General features: G+C 34.6%; 1 protein-coding gene across 31 annotated transcripts in view; it reads left to right on the forward strand.

Moving 5' to 3' along the window:
- Positions 1–18,970, forward strand: part of MBD5 (methyl-CpG binding domain protein 5) — a 496,045-nt gene that overhangs the window by 436,920 nt on the left and 40,155 nt on the right. For 30 of the 31 annotated variants that reach the window (XM_047445056.1, XM_011511472.3, XM_047445068.1 and 27 more), the window contains 4 exons: positions 357–1,025; positions 4,736–4,838; positions 5,893–6,073; positions 10,495–12,615. In XM_047445056.1, the coding sequence (XP_047301012.1) occupies positions 913–1,025; positions 4,736–4,838; positions 5,893–6,073; positions 10,495–12,615 (2,518 nt within the window). In that variant the 5' untranslated portion in view covers positions 357–912. Of the gene's footprint in view, positions 1–356; positions 1,026–2,372; positions 2,459–4,735; positions 4,839–5,892; positions 6,074–10,494; positions 12,616–18,970 lie in introns of those variants that run through there. The other variant, XM_047445086.1, reaches the window with a different exon arrangement.

Below are 18,970 nucleotides of genomic sequence, written 5' to 3' on the forward strand. Positions count from 1 at the left end.
CAACTGTGTAGTTTACGGTCATTAAGAAGTGATGGATATATTTTTATGTCAAGTTAGAAGGAGGCCTTATGTGTACGTTTGTATGTTTGAGTGTATGTGTATATGTAATGCCATAATTACGGGTCTGTCTCTAGTAATTAGAAAGTTGGATATGCCGAAGAGCAAGTAGATTAGTTTAATTGGAGTAAGTGGACTAAGTTGGAAGAAGGAAACAACTTGAATTTGACGTATGATTTTGATAGCAAAGGACATCAATGTGATTGGGTACACTTCGTAGTTTATTCTATTTTAAAACTGTAAAGCTTCTCAGTTTTCAACATTAAATATACAAGTTCACATATTTACATATGTTTCAGGCTACATTATTGGAATTTTGAAGTCATGAAAACATCAGATGAACCAACCTGCAACACCTTGGATTCAGATTGGAAGATAAAGAGAAAGTTTAAAGAATGTGGCCTATAAAGGCGGGTACCTGGAAATATTAACCGACTCACACTGTAAAAATGAGACCAGTTTCTAAACAATAGAGATTGTCTTAGTACAACATCAAGGTTCAAGACAAATGTTGAACTAAAAACTTTACACTCCCCACCCCCACTTCAGACAGGTACCAGCATTGGTGAATTATGATTTTCCTTAGTCAGAAGCACTCATTTTTACCCATGTAGACCATCCTTAGGAATTAAATATTGGTTATTTAATGTAGATTATAATGGGAAGCTGATTTTTTTCACAATGGCATATTTCAAGGACTTGGTTCCAAACTGAGCTGAAGCTTCCCAATGCGTTTTGTACAGTCTGGGAAAAACTGTGCTGCACTGGCCCACTTTTGAAGGCCATCATGCTCTGTAATATAAGGATATCATCTTATTGCTGATATCTTTGGAGAGTCCCTAGCAGACACAGAAAATGAATGGAGGCAAAGAGTGTGACGGAGGGGACAAGGAAGGAGGTCTTCCAGCTATACAAGTTCCTGTGGGTTGGCAGCGTCGTGTGGATCAAAATGGAGTGCTTTATGTCAGGTAAGTTCTTATTATTACCTGTGGTACCTGCAAAGTTGTACTCCAAAGACTAAGGAGAGAACCAAGCATGGTGACTGATGGCACCTCATATAAATGTGAAAAAGTGACCTTTGTGCTAGAAACATATGAGAATTTTTATTGCCTTAGATTTCCAGAGAGAATTTTTTGCATTACTTGTTTATATAAGGTGTCATTCTGCTTATCTCTGTAACAAGAATAAAGAAAAATAAGAAGATTTCTAAAAGAAACATGCAATCATCATTACCACATTCACAGGAGAATGTAAAATACTGGGAATATCACTTGACCTGATATCACTTGACAGAATTACTCTGTCCTTCAGAGTGTGTCAGCTGGCTTTTTTGATAAAATTGAGTTTTTATCCATAGAAAGTTTCAATTATTAGACTTCTTAATGCCTCATGTTAACTAAAAATACATTTCTTTTTTTCTGCATAGTCTTTAATCTATTTCCTTGCGTGTAATAGTAAAAGTGAAAAAGTCATGGAGAAGGCTCTGCATCTTACAAGTAAATAGTCATACAAATAAAATGCCTACTCTTTTCAATGTCAATGCTATACATCTGTTGTAGAACAAGTTGAATGGAATGACTAAACTGTTAAGAAGAAGTTTTAGTCTTACTCATTAAATAGTTGACATCTAAGTTCCCTACTTCATAGTTTTTCTGTAAGTGTCTGAAAGAAGATACCATAAATCTTTCTTGTGATGTAATGAAAAATTTTAGAAACAACTTAAAACTTTTTAAAAGGTATCACATTCCATTATTAGATTGATGCATTTACTTTCAGTGTGGCTATTTATATCCCAGCTTCAACAGAATTTGCCAGTCCAGCAAGAATGTATTCATAGAAATGAGATATTTTTGGTTATGTAAACACAGACTATTTTATGGCATAATAACTCAGAAAGTCAGTTCAGATTCTGTCCTGAGTTTGTTTGCTTGTTGTGTGTAAGGCGTTTCTGGAGGTAAATCTAATTACCAATTAAAAGCATTTTGTTGCATAAATTTTACTTCTATAATATTAAAGATGTGATCCATATTTATTGGGGTGAAGGGATAAGAAAGCAGAGAATATGAAGCTCATCCCATGGTAGATGAGATGAACAAGCACACATGAGATAACTTCTTCAGAGTTTCTATTGCCAGTGCTGTTAACAAAGTACCAGAAATACTTTGTTATAAATATAATATAGCAAGTTATCTGTGTTATATGTTTATACTTATGGTTGTTCTAGTTTATAAAGAGCAAATGTATATTCAGCATAGAACAAAAGACTCTAAAATCTGGATAATTTTTTTTTCACTTCCTTTTTGTTCCTATGAAAGATAGATGAGCTTTTTCAACTTCTGCGAGCAAAAACCAAAGTAAATCTGGGAGTCAAAAACCAAGTTAAAGTCTAAGAAACTGTCAGGTATCTTGTTCATGATTTTCTAAGTCTGACTAGACTTTATACCATCTGATATCCTTGTTAGTATGGGTTCTCCAACTTCAAATCTGTATACTGATAATTATTTTGGAAACAAGCTTTCCTAGATTAGGTAAAACACTCTCAAATTAAATTAACCAGCATAGATTTAATTTGTTTGTATATAACTAAATTACTACTTGAACATGTATAGCTCCTTCTATAGCTCCCTGCTCAATGTGCAGTTTACTCATAATTTTTAGATTGGTCTCCAGCTGCTCCTGCCTCAGGGTGGCATTGAGGCTACACATTAAATTTTCCACCTACTTCCAATCTTCTAAGCTTTATCTATGCTGTAAGTTTTTAAACTTTTTTACATTAATTATTACTCTGAGAAATTAATTAAAGAGATACAACTGAAGGAAAGAAGCCAACTGACTTTTTGAGAGGAAATGTTTTTAAAGCATCTGGAGTACTTTAATAGAATTAAGGAATTCATGTCTTCAGGTTTAATTTTACAATTAAATTCCTCTAGGATTCCGTCCATATACTTTCTTCTAAGTTAAAATGTTGGGCAGTTCCTTTTCACCAAATTCATGAATGCTTCACATGAAAAATCAACAAGACATTATACTTTTTTTCTTGTTGTTTTTGAGACAAAGTCTCACTCCGTCGCCCAGGCTGGAGTGTAGTGGCGCATCTTGGCTCACTGCAACCTCTGCCTCTTGGGTTCAAACATTTCTCATGCCTCAGCCTCCCGAGTAGCTGGAATTACAAGCACACACTACCATGCCCAGCTAATGTTTGTATTTTTAGTAGAGACGGGGTTTCACCATGTTGGCCAGGCTGGTCTCAAATTCCTGACCTCAAGTGATCCGCCTGCCTCGGCCTCCCAAAGTGCTGGGTTTACAGGCGTGAGCCACTGCACTCAGCCTGACTTAGTTTATTGAAATCACCAGACCTCCAAAGACATCTTGTTGCCCTTCCCTGCAGTGGTTGAACTCGTCACTAAAATGAGAATTCTCTGCATATCACCTGAAAAAAAAATAGCCTAAGTAAATGAGTAATTTGACAAAGTTGAGGATTTTTGTTTAGATTTTCTACATGCTGAAATTACTTTCATAAGTGTCCATAAATAAAATATGAATTGCATTTTAAAGCTAGTTCACTAATAGATTTTTAAAAAATACTACTTGTGTTTTTGTAGATAGAACAATCTGTGTCCAGTATTGTAATGTTTTGTATATGAAATGGAGATTATTGTTTCTGGATGAACTTGGTCAGAGGGCTTAAGTGAAGGTTTTGGTAAATAGTCATAACTAAAAGATATTCTCAAGTGAAAAGTATATAATTTCAAAGCATAATATGTATTTAAGTTCAAACATTGACATGTTAATGTAAAGTCCTAAAATGCAGATTGTCCATCTCACATAAAATAACTCCCATTGTAAATAAAAATCAGAGACATCTCTTGTCATCTGAATTACTACTTAATCTGTATTGATGAATATTCACATATCTTACTGACTTTTGTGATCTGAAACTTCGTAACATTGAAGTACCTACACGATTATTAGCCCGAAGACCTGCGAGGCACATTTCTGCTGCCTAAAACCCTATTTCCTCATAAGTTTCCTTTCTTTTGTCAACTCTGCTTAATTCCTCTCTCTCTCTCTGTACAGTTTGACTCTTCAGTGTATCTTCGGATATAACTGATCTATTATATCTTTAAAGAAACACATGGGTAAGGGGGAGATAAAAGAAACCTGTTTTTACATAGGGACAACTTGGTTCTAGATTCCAAGATAAACAGGGACTTGCTCACTCCAACTTTTGTGGACTTGCCAACTTTCTGGTTCGAACTTCAATATGTTTCTAAATTTCTGTTTTTCCTCAAAGAGCTTTCAAAGTAGATATTCTAGTTTAAAATGAGAGTCATTGCTTTTATGTAGTTTTCTTGTTCTTTGTTCCTTTCTTGCCTGCTTCTGTCCTTTCTTAAGAATAGCATTTTTACCACCTTTAGTCTACTCTTGGTTTTCAGAATACTTTTATTTAATTTTCTATGAAGATCTGTATTTTTCTGAGAAATATTTTGGTTCAAAAGAAAACACAATATTGTTAAAGGCTATAATTTAGTAGCTAACATAATATTGACAAAGAAAATGCTTTTCCCTAGTGGGAAAATATCCCATAAAGGACAGTAAGACTATAAATTATGCCTTTTTTCATATAATATGTGTAGTCAAAATTATTTCCTGATGTTTTTTTAAACTATTTTTACAGTCCCAGTGGGTCTTTGTTATCTTGCTTGGAGCAGGTTAAAACATACCTGCTTACTGATGGAACATGCAAGTGTGGCTTGGAATGTCCTCTTATTCTTCCCAAGGTAACCATTTCACAATAGATCTACAGCAGTGTTTTATTTTTTAGGTATTTTGTATATTTGTTTTTCTCATTTGGAATTTTATTTTTTATTACTTCTCCAATCATACATTTTAATTCTTTATCTAATTCTCATATTTTGCATGTGTTTTGGAATGCTTAAAAATTGTGGAAAATAATTCATGTCTAAGAGTCATTTTCAAAGGTGTCAAATCTATATTCATATTAAATTTCATTAAAACCACCTTTCTACCTTTTCATTAGAGCTGTATCTAATATTGCTCGGCATTTAATAGTGCAATATTTTCTCTCATTACTGTAACTGCTCAAATCTGCAATGTTATTGTTAGCACTGGTATTGATAAATCTGCCACAGATATTCTCAAAATCACAAAACTGAACCCTCCTAGCCAAAATATGAAACTGTTTTACTCATTTGCAAGGTAAAAAGTAAAATCATGTAAAATGGTAAAATATTATTTGCTATAGAAATAGGTCATTATTTTGTGAATGTCTATTATAATGCCAATTTTAAAAGTAAAGGTTAGACAATTTTTACTTTTCATTTGTGTGTCACCGCATTCCAAAAAAAGATTAACATAATAAATAAATTTAAAACAAAACAAGTAATAGATTTTCAAAATCAGTGACAAGATAATATTAACGTAATAATAAAATGAAGCCAAGGAAAAAGTTAATATGTAGAAATATCATAGCTTTTTGTTTTGTCTTTTTTAAGTGTACTTCATCTGTTTTTACACTGTTAGAACATCAGGAGGTATCTAAAATTGAGAACATTATCAGATATTATACCTTTTCATATATTTATCTTGGCTGTCTTAGAATTAGGATAGTATTCATTATTTACTTTGCCACTAAAAGCTTGAGTTCAGCAGAAGTACTTACTAAGTTATATAAAGTTGCCTTTCTTAAAAACTTGAGAAAGTTTTATTCAGATTTATGGCTTAATCTATGCACAACTTTTTTTTTAAACAAAGGGATCTTTTTATTAAATGTTTTTACAGACATATTCTAAACAAAGGCTGTGCTTTTTCCAGGTATTTAATTTTGATCCTGGAGCTGCTGTGAAACAGAGAACCGCAGAAGATGTTAAGGCAGATGAAGATGTCACAAAGCTATGCATACATAAAAGAAAAATTATTGCAGTGGCCACACTTCATAAAAGCATGGAAGCCCCACATCCTTCTCTGGTGCTCACCAGTCCCGGAGGAGGAACAAGTATGTAATATGGTGAAAGGTTCAGGAATTCTCCTCTCCCTAGAGAAGGAGTTGCTAGAAATCATTTTGCCTAGCATTTTCTCATTCTACTTTTCAGGCACGCACAATGCTTTTAAAATTCTGTATGTCCTGTAATTTTATTACAAATAGCAAACTAGTTCTGAAAAAATATAGTGAGGTTATTTTCCAAAATTTCTTACCCAGAGCATTCAGTTTAACAGGCAGAATAAACACTAATTAGTACATACAAATACTCTGCAAGTGTGTAAAGCTGAGCTAACAAAAGTTCCCTTGGTTTTTAGGAAATAAATGTAGCCTTTTTCCTGGGGGTGGATTGGAATGTGTGGTATCAAGTCCCCAAAAGCAGTGTTATTCTTTTAGTTATTTGTCGAACACCTACTAAACAGAAATCACCTTGCTGAAAACTTTTTATATCTCCACCACCACACACACGCATGCATGGGGGCTTTCTTTTTTAAATATTTCAAAGCTGCAGAAAAGTTGCAAGAATAGTTCATGGAGTATCCTTCATCTAAATTTACCAATTAACATTTTGTTGCAGAAGTTGCAGTTATTGTGACAATTCAACCCTAAATATTTCAGAGTACAAGGGCACACTCTTACATAAACACGATCTAAGGCTCACATTCAGGAAATTTAACACTGACATAATATTATTATCTAACATGCAATCTGTATTCAGATTTCTCCAATTGTCCTAACAGTGTCTCTTATAGTTTCACAGAAATTCAGTCTTGACCAGGTGCAGTGGCTCATACCTGTAATCTCAGCACTTTGGGAGGCTGAAGTGGGAGGATCGCTTGAGGCTAGGAGTTTGAGACGAGCTTAGACAATACAGCAAGACCTGTCTCTAAAATAATTTAAAAAAAAAAAAAAAACTAGCCAGGCATGGTGGTGGCTCATACCTTTAGTCTTAGCTACTTAGAAGGCTGAGGTGGGAGATCTCTTGAACCCAGAAGTTGGAGGCTGCAGTGAGCCATGATCACACCACTGTGCTCCAACCTGAGTGATAGAGCAAAACTCTGTCTTGATTAAAAAAAAAAAAGAAGTCAGTCTTTTTAAAGATTCACATTGCAATCAAAGATTGTACACTGCATTTAGTTGTTACATATCTTTATATCAATTAAGTCTTTTTCAATTTTTCATGACATTGAAATTTTTGAAGAGTCTAGGCCAACTTTGCACGATGTTCCTCAGTTTGGATTTTCCTCATATTTATGTTCAGGCTAAACACATTTTGCTAGGAATACTGCATAGATGATGTTAGCTCCTCATCATTAGACACATAATGTCAGTTTATCCCATTTTGATAACATTGTTTGATTGCTTAGTTAAAATTATGTCCATTTGATTTTCCCATTATTGAAGTACCCTTTTCCCTTTATGATTAATGTGTACTCTGTGGAATTATACTTTGGGACTGAGGAACTTCTTTTTGTAAGGGATAGAATATGAATGCTCTCTAAAATATTATAATCTAATGTTTGAATATTAATTCAGAATAAAATATGGCTAAACACCAAAGCATTTGTTTATGAGGGATTATTGATACTTTCCCATGGAACTCTGAAAAATAGGGATGATGAGTATACCTGTAGTGATCAGAGAAAGCTTTATGGCAGAACTGAGATTTGGACCAGTCTTAGAAAATAGTAGGATTTAGACATATAAGAGGGATAGGAAAAACCTTCTCCATAATGAGTGTCGCATAATAAGGGATGTTGTAGAAACTGACTTGAATAGAAGATTAGACCGATGTAGGTAAATTGGGGCCAAATTACTGATTGCTTTGGATACAAAGAAGAACAGTTGCCATGTCATGCAGGTAATTAAAGATTCACACTTAGAATTCATGTGAAGAGGTATAACTATGTTTTCATTGTTGCATATTACCGTGGACATATTCTTACCTGTGCTTGCTCTCACATCACATAATATCATATAGATTTACCAGTTTCTACAGAGTCTGCTTATTGCCTTTCTAAAGACCCTGGCAGAATCTAGATCTCACTTCTTTGTCATACCTATACATACAAGTTTAATTATTGAAATTAAAGGTAAATATATAACTAGCACAGGTAGTAATAGGTACACCTCCATTCCTTTTTAAAATGATACTCTTTATGGGATTGATTACTTTTCCTAGCTTCAGACATAGCATTTATTTTAGTTTCCTAATTTTAAACTATATTATCATAAGGTTGAGATTTGAATAATTAAAAGTTCAGAAGACTGACTTAGTAGTTTTTCACCTCCCATTATTTAAATACATAAGCATCTGTTTCTGTTTATTCTTTTGGAAGGTACTGTTTATTCTTTTGAAAGCACTTGATGGGTGCCTAGCATTTCCACTTGCCAACTCTATAACAAAACATCAGCCTGACTTTTGTTTATTTTGTATTTCAGTTACTTTTAAAATGGTAACTATTTTCCCCCAAGTTTGGAAGAAATTTTTTCTGAACCACAGTTATTATCTAAATTCTGTTAGTTGAATATAAAAATTCCAGTGTCTGTATTTTTAATCACTGAACTGTAGATAATTATATAAATACATTGATACCCAAGAAAAAATGCAAGTAGGTTGTTTTGTCACTAAAGAGAACATGGTCAGTCATAGGATAATGCTAATGACGTTAATGTTCTCACTATTTGCCAAGCACAGTGCCCAAAATATTAACGTTTTTCATTTTGTTCCTTTAATTACAAACTTTAAAAATCTCTTTTTAACAAGAAAATAAGCTTCAGTTGAGTTTATCTACTGCAATTCTCTCATATCATTGGATCTCAACTTTTCATATATTATATCCAGAAATCATTCTATCAAAGAACCTCTACCATGATAAAATCAGAAATTCCACATTTTCCAAGAAAAACAAATGTTCACAGCATTCTCTTACTAATTGAATGTGCTCTATGTAGATTTATTTGGACCCCAGGTTGAGATCCACTATCTCAGTAATTGTTATGATATGATTTGACCTGTATAGTGTCTAGCAGATAGGAAAAATATATTTAATCTTAAATGTGTAATTATCCAGTTAAGTAAGCATACCTATTATTGCAAATGAATGTAACTCTACTTGCTAATGTAAGTCTCAAAATAGGTATGGCAGGATGTATAGTTTGAATGGTGCCATTCTCATCTCCTATGCCTGTAACAGTCTCACTGGCATTTTCTCATGGAGCCCAGCTAGAGTTCAGCTTCCTTTCCAACACAGCTTTCTAAGCAGCTACCACCAATTGGTGGGAATTGGCATATGAAACAAATTTTACTTGCCATTTTCATTTTAAAAGGCATAACTTTATAAAATAGATATCGTAAGGGGCTAAAAAAGCGAAACCTAGAATTCTGATGTGATAGAATGAAAATTCTGTATGATGAATCTGCTTGCTTTTGTTGCCTGTATTCTGTCTGATCTCCAGAAAAACTGAAGGGATTCCAAACAGCCAGAGAAGGAGAAATGCACTCATGTAAAAAGAGAATATGCAATTGGAGCCCAGTACTGAAGGTTTTAGCACTTCAACTAAATTTTACATAAGAAACCTATCCTAATAAAAGAATTGAAGTCTGTGGCCATACCACCCTGAATACACCCAATTGTCTAATGAAAGAATTGCAGTCTTTTACCTAAGTTGGTAAAAGGGTGTGGCTGTTTTTACAATAATGACTAATTAAGGGCAAAGAAATTACAGTGTTAGAAACATGATGTGAAACTAAGCATGGGTTAGTTTGCAATATCACTGCATTTATTCTTCTTATTACTCCCATTATAAAAGATTTGGAATCCCATTAGACAGAAATCAAGTCTTACTCTCATAGTGAAAATGTTGGGATAAGGAAATATTACGGTATCTGTTCTGAGAAGGTTGCAGTAAGATAACAAACATTTTGTTATAAGGGTGAACATTTTGTGGTGAAAATGGCAATTCATTTAAATCACCCAAGAAAATATTATGCCACACAAACCACAATTTTCTATTGTAACTGCATTCTTAAAAATTCTAAATCCAACAAAATAGTAATATCACCATTTCCATCTGGACTGCCAGTCTTGATTTTGTATATTCTAAATATTATTAGAATGGCTAATGTCATTATGTATTGCTTTAGATGCCCATGCTTTCTCAACAGATAAAGAGTAAATAAGCATAATGAGCAGTTACTGAGAACCTTTGGTCAACAAAGGGAAAATAATGTACATTTTTTAAATCAAATTTAAAATAGTATTAATATATAGAACTATTTTTAATTGCATAGAATCACAGCTTTTATTTACAGATTCCTATTTCCAGATGCCCATCCTCCCTCTCCCTTCCTGATTTCCTCCATTCCTTCCCTCCCTCCCACCACAAAAGAGTTGAGACTGTTAACAGAATTCTTTTTTTCTCTTTCACATCAGATGCAACTCCAGTAGTACCTTCTCGGGCAGCAACTCCAAGATCAGTAAGAAATAAGTCTCATGAAGGAATTACAAATTCTGTAATGCCTGAATGTAAGAATCCTTTCAAGTTAATGATTGGATCATCAAATGCCATGGGAAGGCTATATGTACAAGAACTGCCTGGAAGCCAACAACAAGAACTCCACCCTGTCTACCCCCGACAGAGATTGGGCAGCAGTGAACATGGACAGAAATCTCCATTCCGTGGCAGCCATGGAGGCCTGCCCAGCCCAGCGTCATCAGGTTCCCAGATATATGGAGATGGTTCAATCTCTCCAAGGACTGACCCACTTGGAAGTCCTGATGTTTTCACAAGAAGTAATCCTGGTTTTCATGGAGCTCCCAATTCTAGTCCTATTCACCTGAATAGGACTCCTCTTTCTCCACCTTCAGTAATGCTACATGGTTCTCCTGTACAGTCATCCTGTGCAATGGCTGGAAGGACTAATATACCTCTTTCCCCAACCTTGACTACAAAGAGTCCAGTAATGAAAAAACCAATGTGTAATTTTTCAACTAATATGGAAATACCACGAGCAATGTTCCACCACAAACCACCCCAAGGCCCACCTCCCCCTCCTCCACCTTCTTGTGCTCTTCAGAAAAAGCCATTAACATCTGAGAAAGATCCACTTGGCATTCTTGACCCTATTCCTAGTAAACCAGTGAATCAGAACCCTGTTATCATTAATCCAACCAGTTTCCATTCAAATGTCCACTCTCAGGTACCTATGATGAATGTAAGCATGCCTCCTGCTGTTGTTCCTTTGCCAAGTAATCTCCCATTGCCAACTGTAAAACCTGGTCACATGAATCATGGGAGTCATGTACAAAGAGTTCAGCATTCAGCTTCAACCTCCCTGTCCCCTTCTCCAGTGACATCCCCCGTGCACATGATGGGGACTGGAATTGGAAGGATTGAGGCATCGCCCCAAAGATCACGCTCATCTTCCACATCATCAGATCATGGAAATTTCATGATGCCACCTGTAGGACCCCAGGCCACTTCTAGTGGTATTAAGGTTCCACCCAGGTCACCAAGGTCAACAATAGGGTCCCCAAGGCCATCAATGCCATCAAGCCCTTCTACCAAGTCCGATGGACATCATCAGTACAAGGATATCCCTAACCCATTAATTGCTGGAATAAGTAATGTACTAAATACCCCAAGCAGTGCAGCTTTTCCTACTGCATCTGCCGGAAGTAGTTCTGTAAAGAGTCAGCCTGGTTTGCTGGGAATGCCTTTAAATCAGATCTTGAACCAGCACAATGCTGCCTCCTTTCCAGCAAGTAGTTTACTCTCAGCAGCAGCCAAAGCACAGCTAGCAAATCAAAACAAACTTGCTGGTAACAACAGTAGCAGCAGTAGCAATTCTGGAGCTGTTGCCGGCAGTGGCAACACTGAAGGACATAGCACTTTAAACACCATGTTCCCTCCTACTGCCAACATGCTTCTCCCAACAGGTGAAGGGCAAAGTGGTCGAGCAGCACTAAGAGATAAGCTGATGTCTCAGCAAAAAGACGCATTGCGGAAAAGAAAACAACCACCTACGACAGTGTTGAGTTTGCTCAGACAGTCTCAAATGGATAGTTCTGCAGTTCCTAAACCTGGACCTGACTTGCTAAGGAAGCAGGGTCAGGGTTCATTTCCCATCAGTTCAATGTCTCAGTTACTACAGTCTATGAGTTGTCAAAGCTCTCACTTGAGTAGCAATAGTACCCCGGGTTGTGGGGCCTCAAATACTGCTTTGCCTTGCTCTGCTAACCAGCTGCATTTTACAGATCCCAGTATGAACTCTAGTGTTCTTCAGAACATACCTTTAAGAGGGGAAGCCGTGCACTGCCACAATGCAAACACTAACTTTGTTCACAGTAACAGTCCAGTCCCCAACCACCATCTTGCAGGTTTAATAAATCAGATTCAGGCTAGCGGGAACTGTGGGATGCTCAGTCAGTCGGGCATGGCTTTAGGAAATTCCTTACATCCCAATCCACCTCAGTCAAGAATTTCAACGTCCTCCACTCCAGTGATACCAAACAGCATTGTTAGCAGCTATAATCAAACAAGTTCTGAAGCAGGTATGGTTTTATTAGAAAAAAGTACCCAAAGGTACTAAACTTTTCTACTTTTTTAAAAAATTTGTACCAAAATATTTATTATGATAAGAAATGATCCTTTCCCCATTGTGAAATTCTCTTCATTTCTTTAGTATTTATAATTTTATTTACAGAATGCTAGGGATTTGTCTATTGGGAAGATTAACAGCTAAGAGGATTTCATGTGTTTCCATTATTTGTTGTCAATCTGTGTCATTTTGAATATTGTTCGACTTTCACTTGGTTTTATAACCATTGGACTCCAAACTGCAAAATAAGCCATACGAGGCAGGGTTTCCTGGTTTGTGAGACATGTCCTTGGTCTATGCCAATATAAAAGCCATCTCCCTAGCTTTTGTTTGTATTCAGGTAAATGAAGTTTATCTTGGAAAAATCCAAAAAGGCAAAAATAAATGGATTTTTTTTCTTGCTGCTGAACAGAAGTAGGTGAATGGATAGGAAAAGGTAACTAGAAGTTGTACGAAGTAGAAGGCTGTCTTCTAATGTGTTTTCTTATCCTAGTTTGCTATCCTTATTATTTGTTTGAGAAAACTCAAAAATGGATATTGGCTACTCCCTTTTAAAAAAAAAGCTAATAATTTAAGCTTTCTAATAAAAAAAAGGCTTGAAAACCTGATTTCCAGAATTTTTAATCTTGAAATTGTTTTTTGAGTTTCTTGTAGAACTAAACCATTTTTATCATTGACATTAAGGTTTTGAACCCAAATCTATTGTATCTCTTCAGCCACCATTAAGGAAACAAATTTATTTAAAAGTAGGCATATTAGAAAAAGACCTGTATTTTGTGCAATAGAGTCCTCAGAAATTGTTATAAAAACTGTACAGAAGCACCTAAGAGGTAAATGTGTTGAGGCATCAGAAAATTTGACTATGAAAACATTATTCAACACTAATGATTTATGAGAAATGACAAGGAGGAAATAAAAGATGGTTGTAAAGACATTATTGTTCACTATGAAAACAGTGTGCTATGAAAACCAGATTGCTACTGGGAATGAGAAAACTGCTGAGGTTTTTAATAATAAGCTAGTGTGTAGGTATAATACCGTCATGCTGGAGAAGCATTCTAACCCACATGTCTTTGTTGCTGATAGTAAAAGCGTTTTCCTTCCTAGTGTTGCCATTTACACCTGCCATCCTTCACATCTTGTGTTATGTGTTATGTTTTGATGTCACTATTTAATGAAGAACTATTCAATGATCTCTTATGTTAAATATATATATGGTTTAGAAGATATTTGAAATTATTAGTGCCTTCTTGATATTCTTAGTTTAAAGAATCTCATAAAACTTTATGTTTTATGTGTCTAACAGTATACTTATCCCATAGGGGGCTTCCAGCTTTTCACTCACTCATCATATTTCTTTTTAGATAACTCGACACAAATGAAAATTTTATTTTATCTATTTAGCAGAAAAGTCACACAAAGTTCATAACTATTTAAAAGTACACCATATTTATTGAGCATACCTTAAATAATTTTGATGGGACATTTTTAGTCTCATTGCATTATACAGTTTTGATATCCCCTACCTCAGTTTACTTCATTTCAGGTCTGAGTTCATGTGCAAAGTGTATGTATTTCATTGATGTATTTCAATTCATCTATAATGGAAAAGACCAACATTTACTTATATTCTTGTTTCTTCTGATGGTCAAGTTTAGACTTATTTAATACTGTTTTGGTCATTTATTTTTTTTGTTTCATGTATCTTTGTAATACATCTGACCTGTACTGTTACTGCTGGGGGTGTCAAAGCATATAGGTTAAAAATTTATTAGTGTCAGAAAAGTGTGAGCATATAAATAGCTAAAAAGGATAAGGATACATGTCTAGAAATGATATGAATATGACCAACTAGTGTAAACTAACAGGAAGTATGTGCTTAATAAAAATCTAAGTAGAATTTTTAAAGTATTAAACCTAATAAAATTAAATACTAATTAACGTGCATAGGTCTGATGTGCAGCTGGTTATGAAAACGGATTGATTCACTAATGAACATAACTCTTTCGATGAGCTAAATATTGAAGCAGTCTCTAATGCCATGTTTCTTTTTGCCATGTAGTGAACTGTGTCAACTCAATGTACCATCACTGTAATTGCCTAGCCTAAATATCTGTTTACACTGACATTTATTCATTCATCAAATAACCGTTGAGCCTTAAAGGTAGGCATTCAGAATGAGACAGTAAATGATAGTCACAGCTTTTCCTCTAGGAGTGTTACTGAGTATTTCTATGATACCAGAAAGACATTAGAAGAAAACCACATTTTATTCTTAAAATGTTGCTATAGCTATCTATCGTCAAGTACCTTTTATGTACCAGGTGATTTCCCTATATTATTTCTAATCTGTGCAGTTTTCTAAAGTATAAAGTATTATTGTTCAATTTTACAGATCAGGAGCCTGAGGCTAAAAAAACTTAAGTAACTGTTCCGTATCATACATAACTGAATCAGGATTTGAACTGAGGTTCATCTGATTCTAAAATCCATTTTCCTCCCAGCTGCATAAATTCTTCATCTGAAACATTTAGTGCTCAAAAGTATTGTGTTCCCTTTCAAAATCTTTTAAAATGTTCAATAGATAATAAATTAAATCACATTAATGCATGTTAAAAGCCACATTTGTTAACTATTGATATACTTCAGATGAAAGTCAGTTATTTTTGCCAATATTATAGCAAATAATGACTAGAATTTTTACGTCAGTGCAGAAGAAGAAATACCCAAAATGTCAAGAAAACTGCCCCTTATTAGTGAATCACATTTGGTGACCTTTCTTTTAATTAATTATCACCTCACTCAAATTAGAATGGGTTTCCTAGTAGGTGACGTGTCAGTAGGCCTTTAAAAGAGATGTAGATGCTAGTCATGTCATTCCAAGCATGGTAGCACAGTGAGGATGAAAAAAACCAACAGGTAACATGGTCCAACTGTACTCTGTGGTTACAGAGCTTAGATACAACTCAGGTGACCTCTTGCTCAATCCAGTGCCTTTTTCCACTCTTCTAAGTAAAAGTTCAAAAATATTACATTAAGACATTAACAAGATAAGAAATAACTTTCTCTGAAAAATGCTTAGTTCCATTGGTAATCTATTTTTAAATCTTCTTTTAAGGAGAGTCTTCCTATGCAAAACAATCCAAATATTGATTTTTAGGCCTATATGTGAATTCTATGGGAGGCATTTAAAACATACAACTTAAGCATGGGAATTGAAGGCAAAGATAGTAGCAAAATCAGATAAAAGATATTAAATACTTTGAAGAATTTCTAAAGCTTATGAATATACAAGGCTTTATTAATTCTACTTTGTGTTTTCAAGTTGCCTTTCCACTAAAGCTTCAAAATACTTTGCATTTTAAAGTTTACAGTTTTCCACTGGCTTTTTCAATATCAAATTACAGATAAAGTTTAATATTTCCATGTAACAGATTTAGAAACTGACCAGTAGGATACTTGGTGACATTCCTCAAGTTGTAAAGCAAATCTCTGTTGGATCTGGCAGCCAAATCCCAAAGTTCCCAATTCTCAGTCCAAACACTCAAACTGCCAAATGCAGGTATGTTCTGGAAATCCATCAGTAGTAGACATTTAAAGCAACTTTCCATTTTTAAAGAGAGATGCATTTCAGCATGTGAGTAGCTATAGCACATGTCCTATAATATTATGACTTAAGGAAGACTCCAAAATCAAGTGCCCTTGCCTGGCAAACTTCAAAATGCCCAGGCCTCTTTAATCCTCTGACTACTGCACACCTGCTTACCAGATAACAAAAACACATGCCAGTAACCCAAGCCTCTGCAGAGGACTTAGCCCTGTTAGTATCCACACAATGACCCATCCATTCCTTTGCCCTGCAGTTTTTCACGATTTTCAAAGAAGGAAAAAGATTTAGATTATTCTGCCAACATGCTTATTAGCAACCCTACCTTCTTCCAATATGATAAAGTCACTAAGTCATTCAACACAACATAACTTTTTTCACTTTAAAATGACTTTTATGTTCTCTTATTTTTTCCTAAAAAAAAACCAAAACATTTAATCAGCTCTTTTAAACACATGAAAATTTAATCCTCTGAGGGGACACGGTATGGGTTTGTGCCAGAAGAGAAAATAATTCAAACATTTATTTGCCTTAACTCTTAAAGATATACATGACAAGAATATAAATAAGCCTACAAATAAATAAATGTTCTTGAGTATTTATATACTTATATTTTTTTAACTGCAAAAGAAAGTTTTCTTTCAGCACAAAATACATTTGATTGAAACTCAGGACAGCCATTAATATGGTAGGTATAAGACAATGGAATAGTGAGACCACAAAAGAACACTTTGGGTAAAAGACTACAAAGTAATGAGTTTGGTTTTTATGTCCTGTTTGTTCATTTGTTCTTGGAACATAGCAGTAAAGAAAATAAAGGGAGTTGTCATCCCTGTTTTTTCTAGATGAAGCTACAGGGGCAGAAAGATTAAGGGATAAAAATGCTCAAGGGTGGATTATACTATAAAGTATCCTTCTCAGGAGATGAGAGATTTGTATAGAAATAATTCAGTGTTATATAGATTAATGTAGACTGAAGAAAGAGGAAGAGCCTCCTTGAAGGCTGTGACTGAATAAATATGAGTTGCTAGTGAAAGTATTTTCACTCAAATTTTTAAATGCTTCGATTTTATCCCCCAATCAGATGCACAAAGTTTGTAGTTTAAAAATTGTCCTCTGCACTTGTTTTTTAACCAAACAACAGAACTATACTAAATTCTGGATTGTGTGATTAAAAATCTATGTCTATTATTTTAGTAAATTTTTGCAAAATGAGCCATTTATTCTTTGCTGTAAGACATTCTTAATATAGTCAATGTCTTGTTGTTTAAGAAGGTCTCCTAATATCAGGGTTTCACCACTTATTTTGTTTACTTATTCCAGGTTTAACGTTTCCTTGTATTAAAAAAAAAAGGAGTTAAAATATGTTCAGCTGTAGACGTTGAGTCTATGTAATCAAAGGTGATAACAGAACTCAGAGTGGTGATATGTTTGCTGATTCAGTGATCTATTTTGTACCTTTCAAGAAATAAATTGTCCCAGTGTGCAAATTGGGAGAATTTTATTCCATTACAACACATTGAGCTCACTTATAAAGCCACTAGAAATCCTTCAGTTCTCTAGAAGATGCCTAAGCTACTATTTACTAAAATCAAGTGGTCCAAAAAACATTTACACAGTTGCAAAACGTACCCAGATTCTATGGAGTAATGTTAATTCTACAATGTTTGAGTCATAAAAATAATGCTAAAAAATATTCCTATGATGTCATCAAAATGGATTTCATTTTTTCATGCATGTAGTACTAAATAATTCAAATCATAAATAAAATTCTTACCTTCTAGGAACTTCTATCAAACAACATTAATGCCAGCCAAGCCAAGAGTAAAGTAAAAATTATTTCTAAGCCTTATACTACTTGCAAATTCAAAGTAACAACTCACCTTTTTACAGATTAAAAGTGGAGCTAGACAACAGAAGTCTGAAGGAGTTGCTGAGGTATTCCTGGGGTTGGAGTTAGTCCAGGGAAGTCCGTATTATCTATCCAAGACCCATGGGCACAGGTATAAGAGAGAGTATTCATCACAGATATACTAGAGCAGGGCTCCTGTGCTGCATAACTCCACAGGGACCCCTTTCTCAATGTAGCCTGATAAATATGCTCCCAGAGCACAGCTCCATAGACCATCTCCTACAGAGTTGAGCAACTGAGAGGCCTGATCCTAAAGCAGTATTTTTCAGCTTTTTAAAATTCTTCCCACAATAGGAAATTAACTTGCATTACAGTCCATTAGACATACATTTATAATGTGTAACAAAAAGTTTCATGAAACAAATACTTATTACATGTAATAACTTCTGATTTTTTATCCCATTCTATTTTATCTTATTCTATTTGGTATTTTTTAATAACAGCCATGACTCACTGAAATGATTTTAATCACTCACAAAACAGATCATGACCTAGCACTCACATATATAAGCTAACAGAAAGAGCTTCCACAAAATACTACCCTAGCTGTGCATTGTCCTTTACATTTCCTTTTCAATTTCATTTATCAAAAATATACTAGTTGGGGCATACTAAATTGATGTTGCACCCCACTAATAGATCTCAATAATGTTTCAGAATATCCATGAGGTAATTAATTCAGCAAATATTTATTGAGCACCTAGGATGTGCTAGGCACTGTTTTAGCACTGCAGATAAAACGGTATAGTAGAAGAATACAAAGCTAAGCATATTCATAATCTAGAAACT

This window comes from Homo sapiens, chromosome 2 (assembly GCF_000001405.40).
Source record: "Homo sapiens chromosome 2, GRCh38.p14 Primary Assembly".
Taxonomy (NCBI): domain Eukaryota; kingdom Metazoa; phylum Chordata; class Mammalia; order Primates; family Hominidae; genus Homo; species Homo sapiens.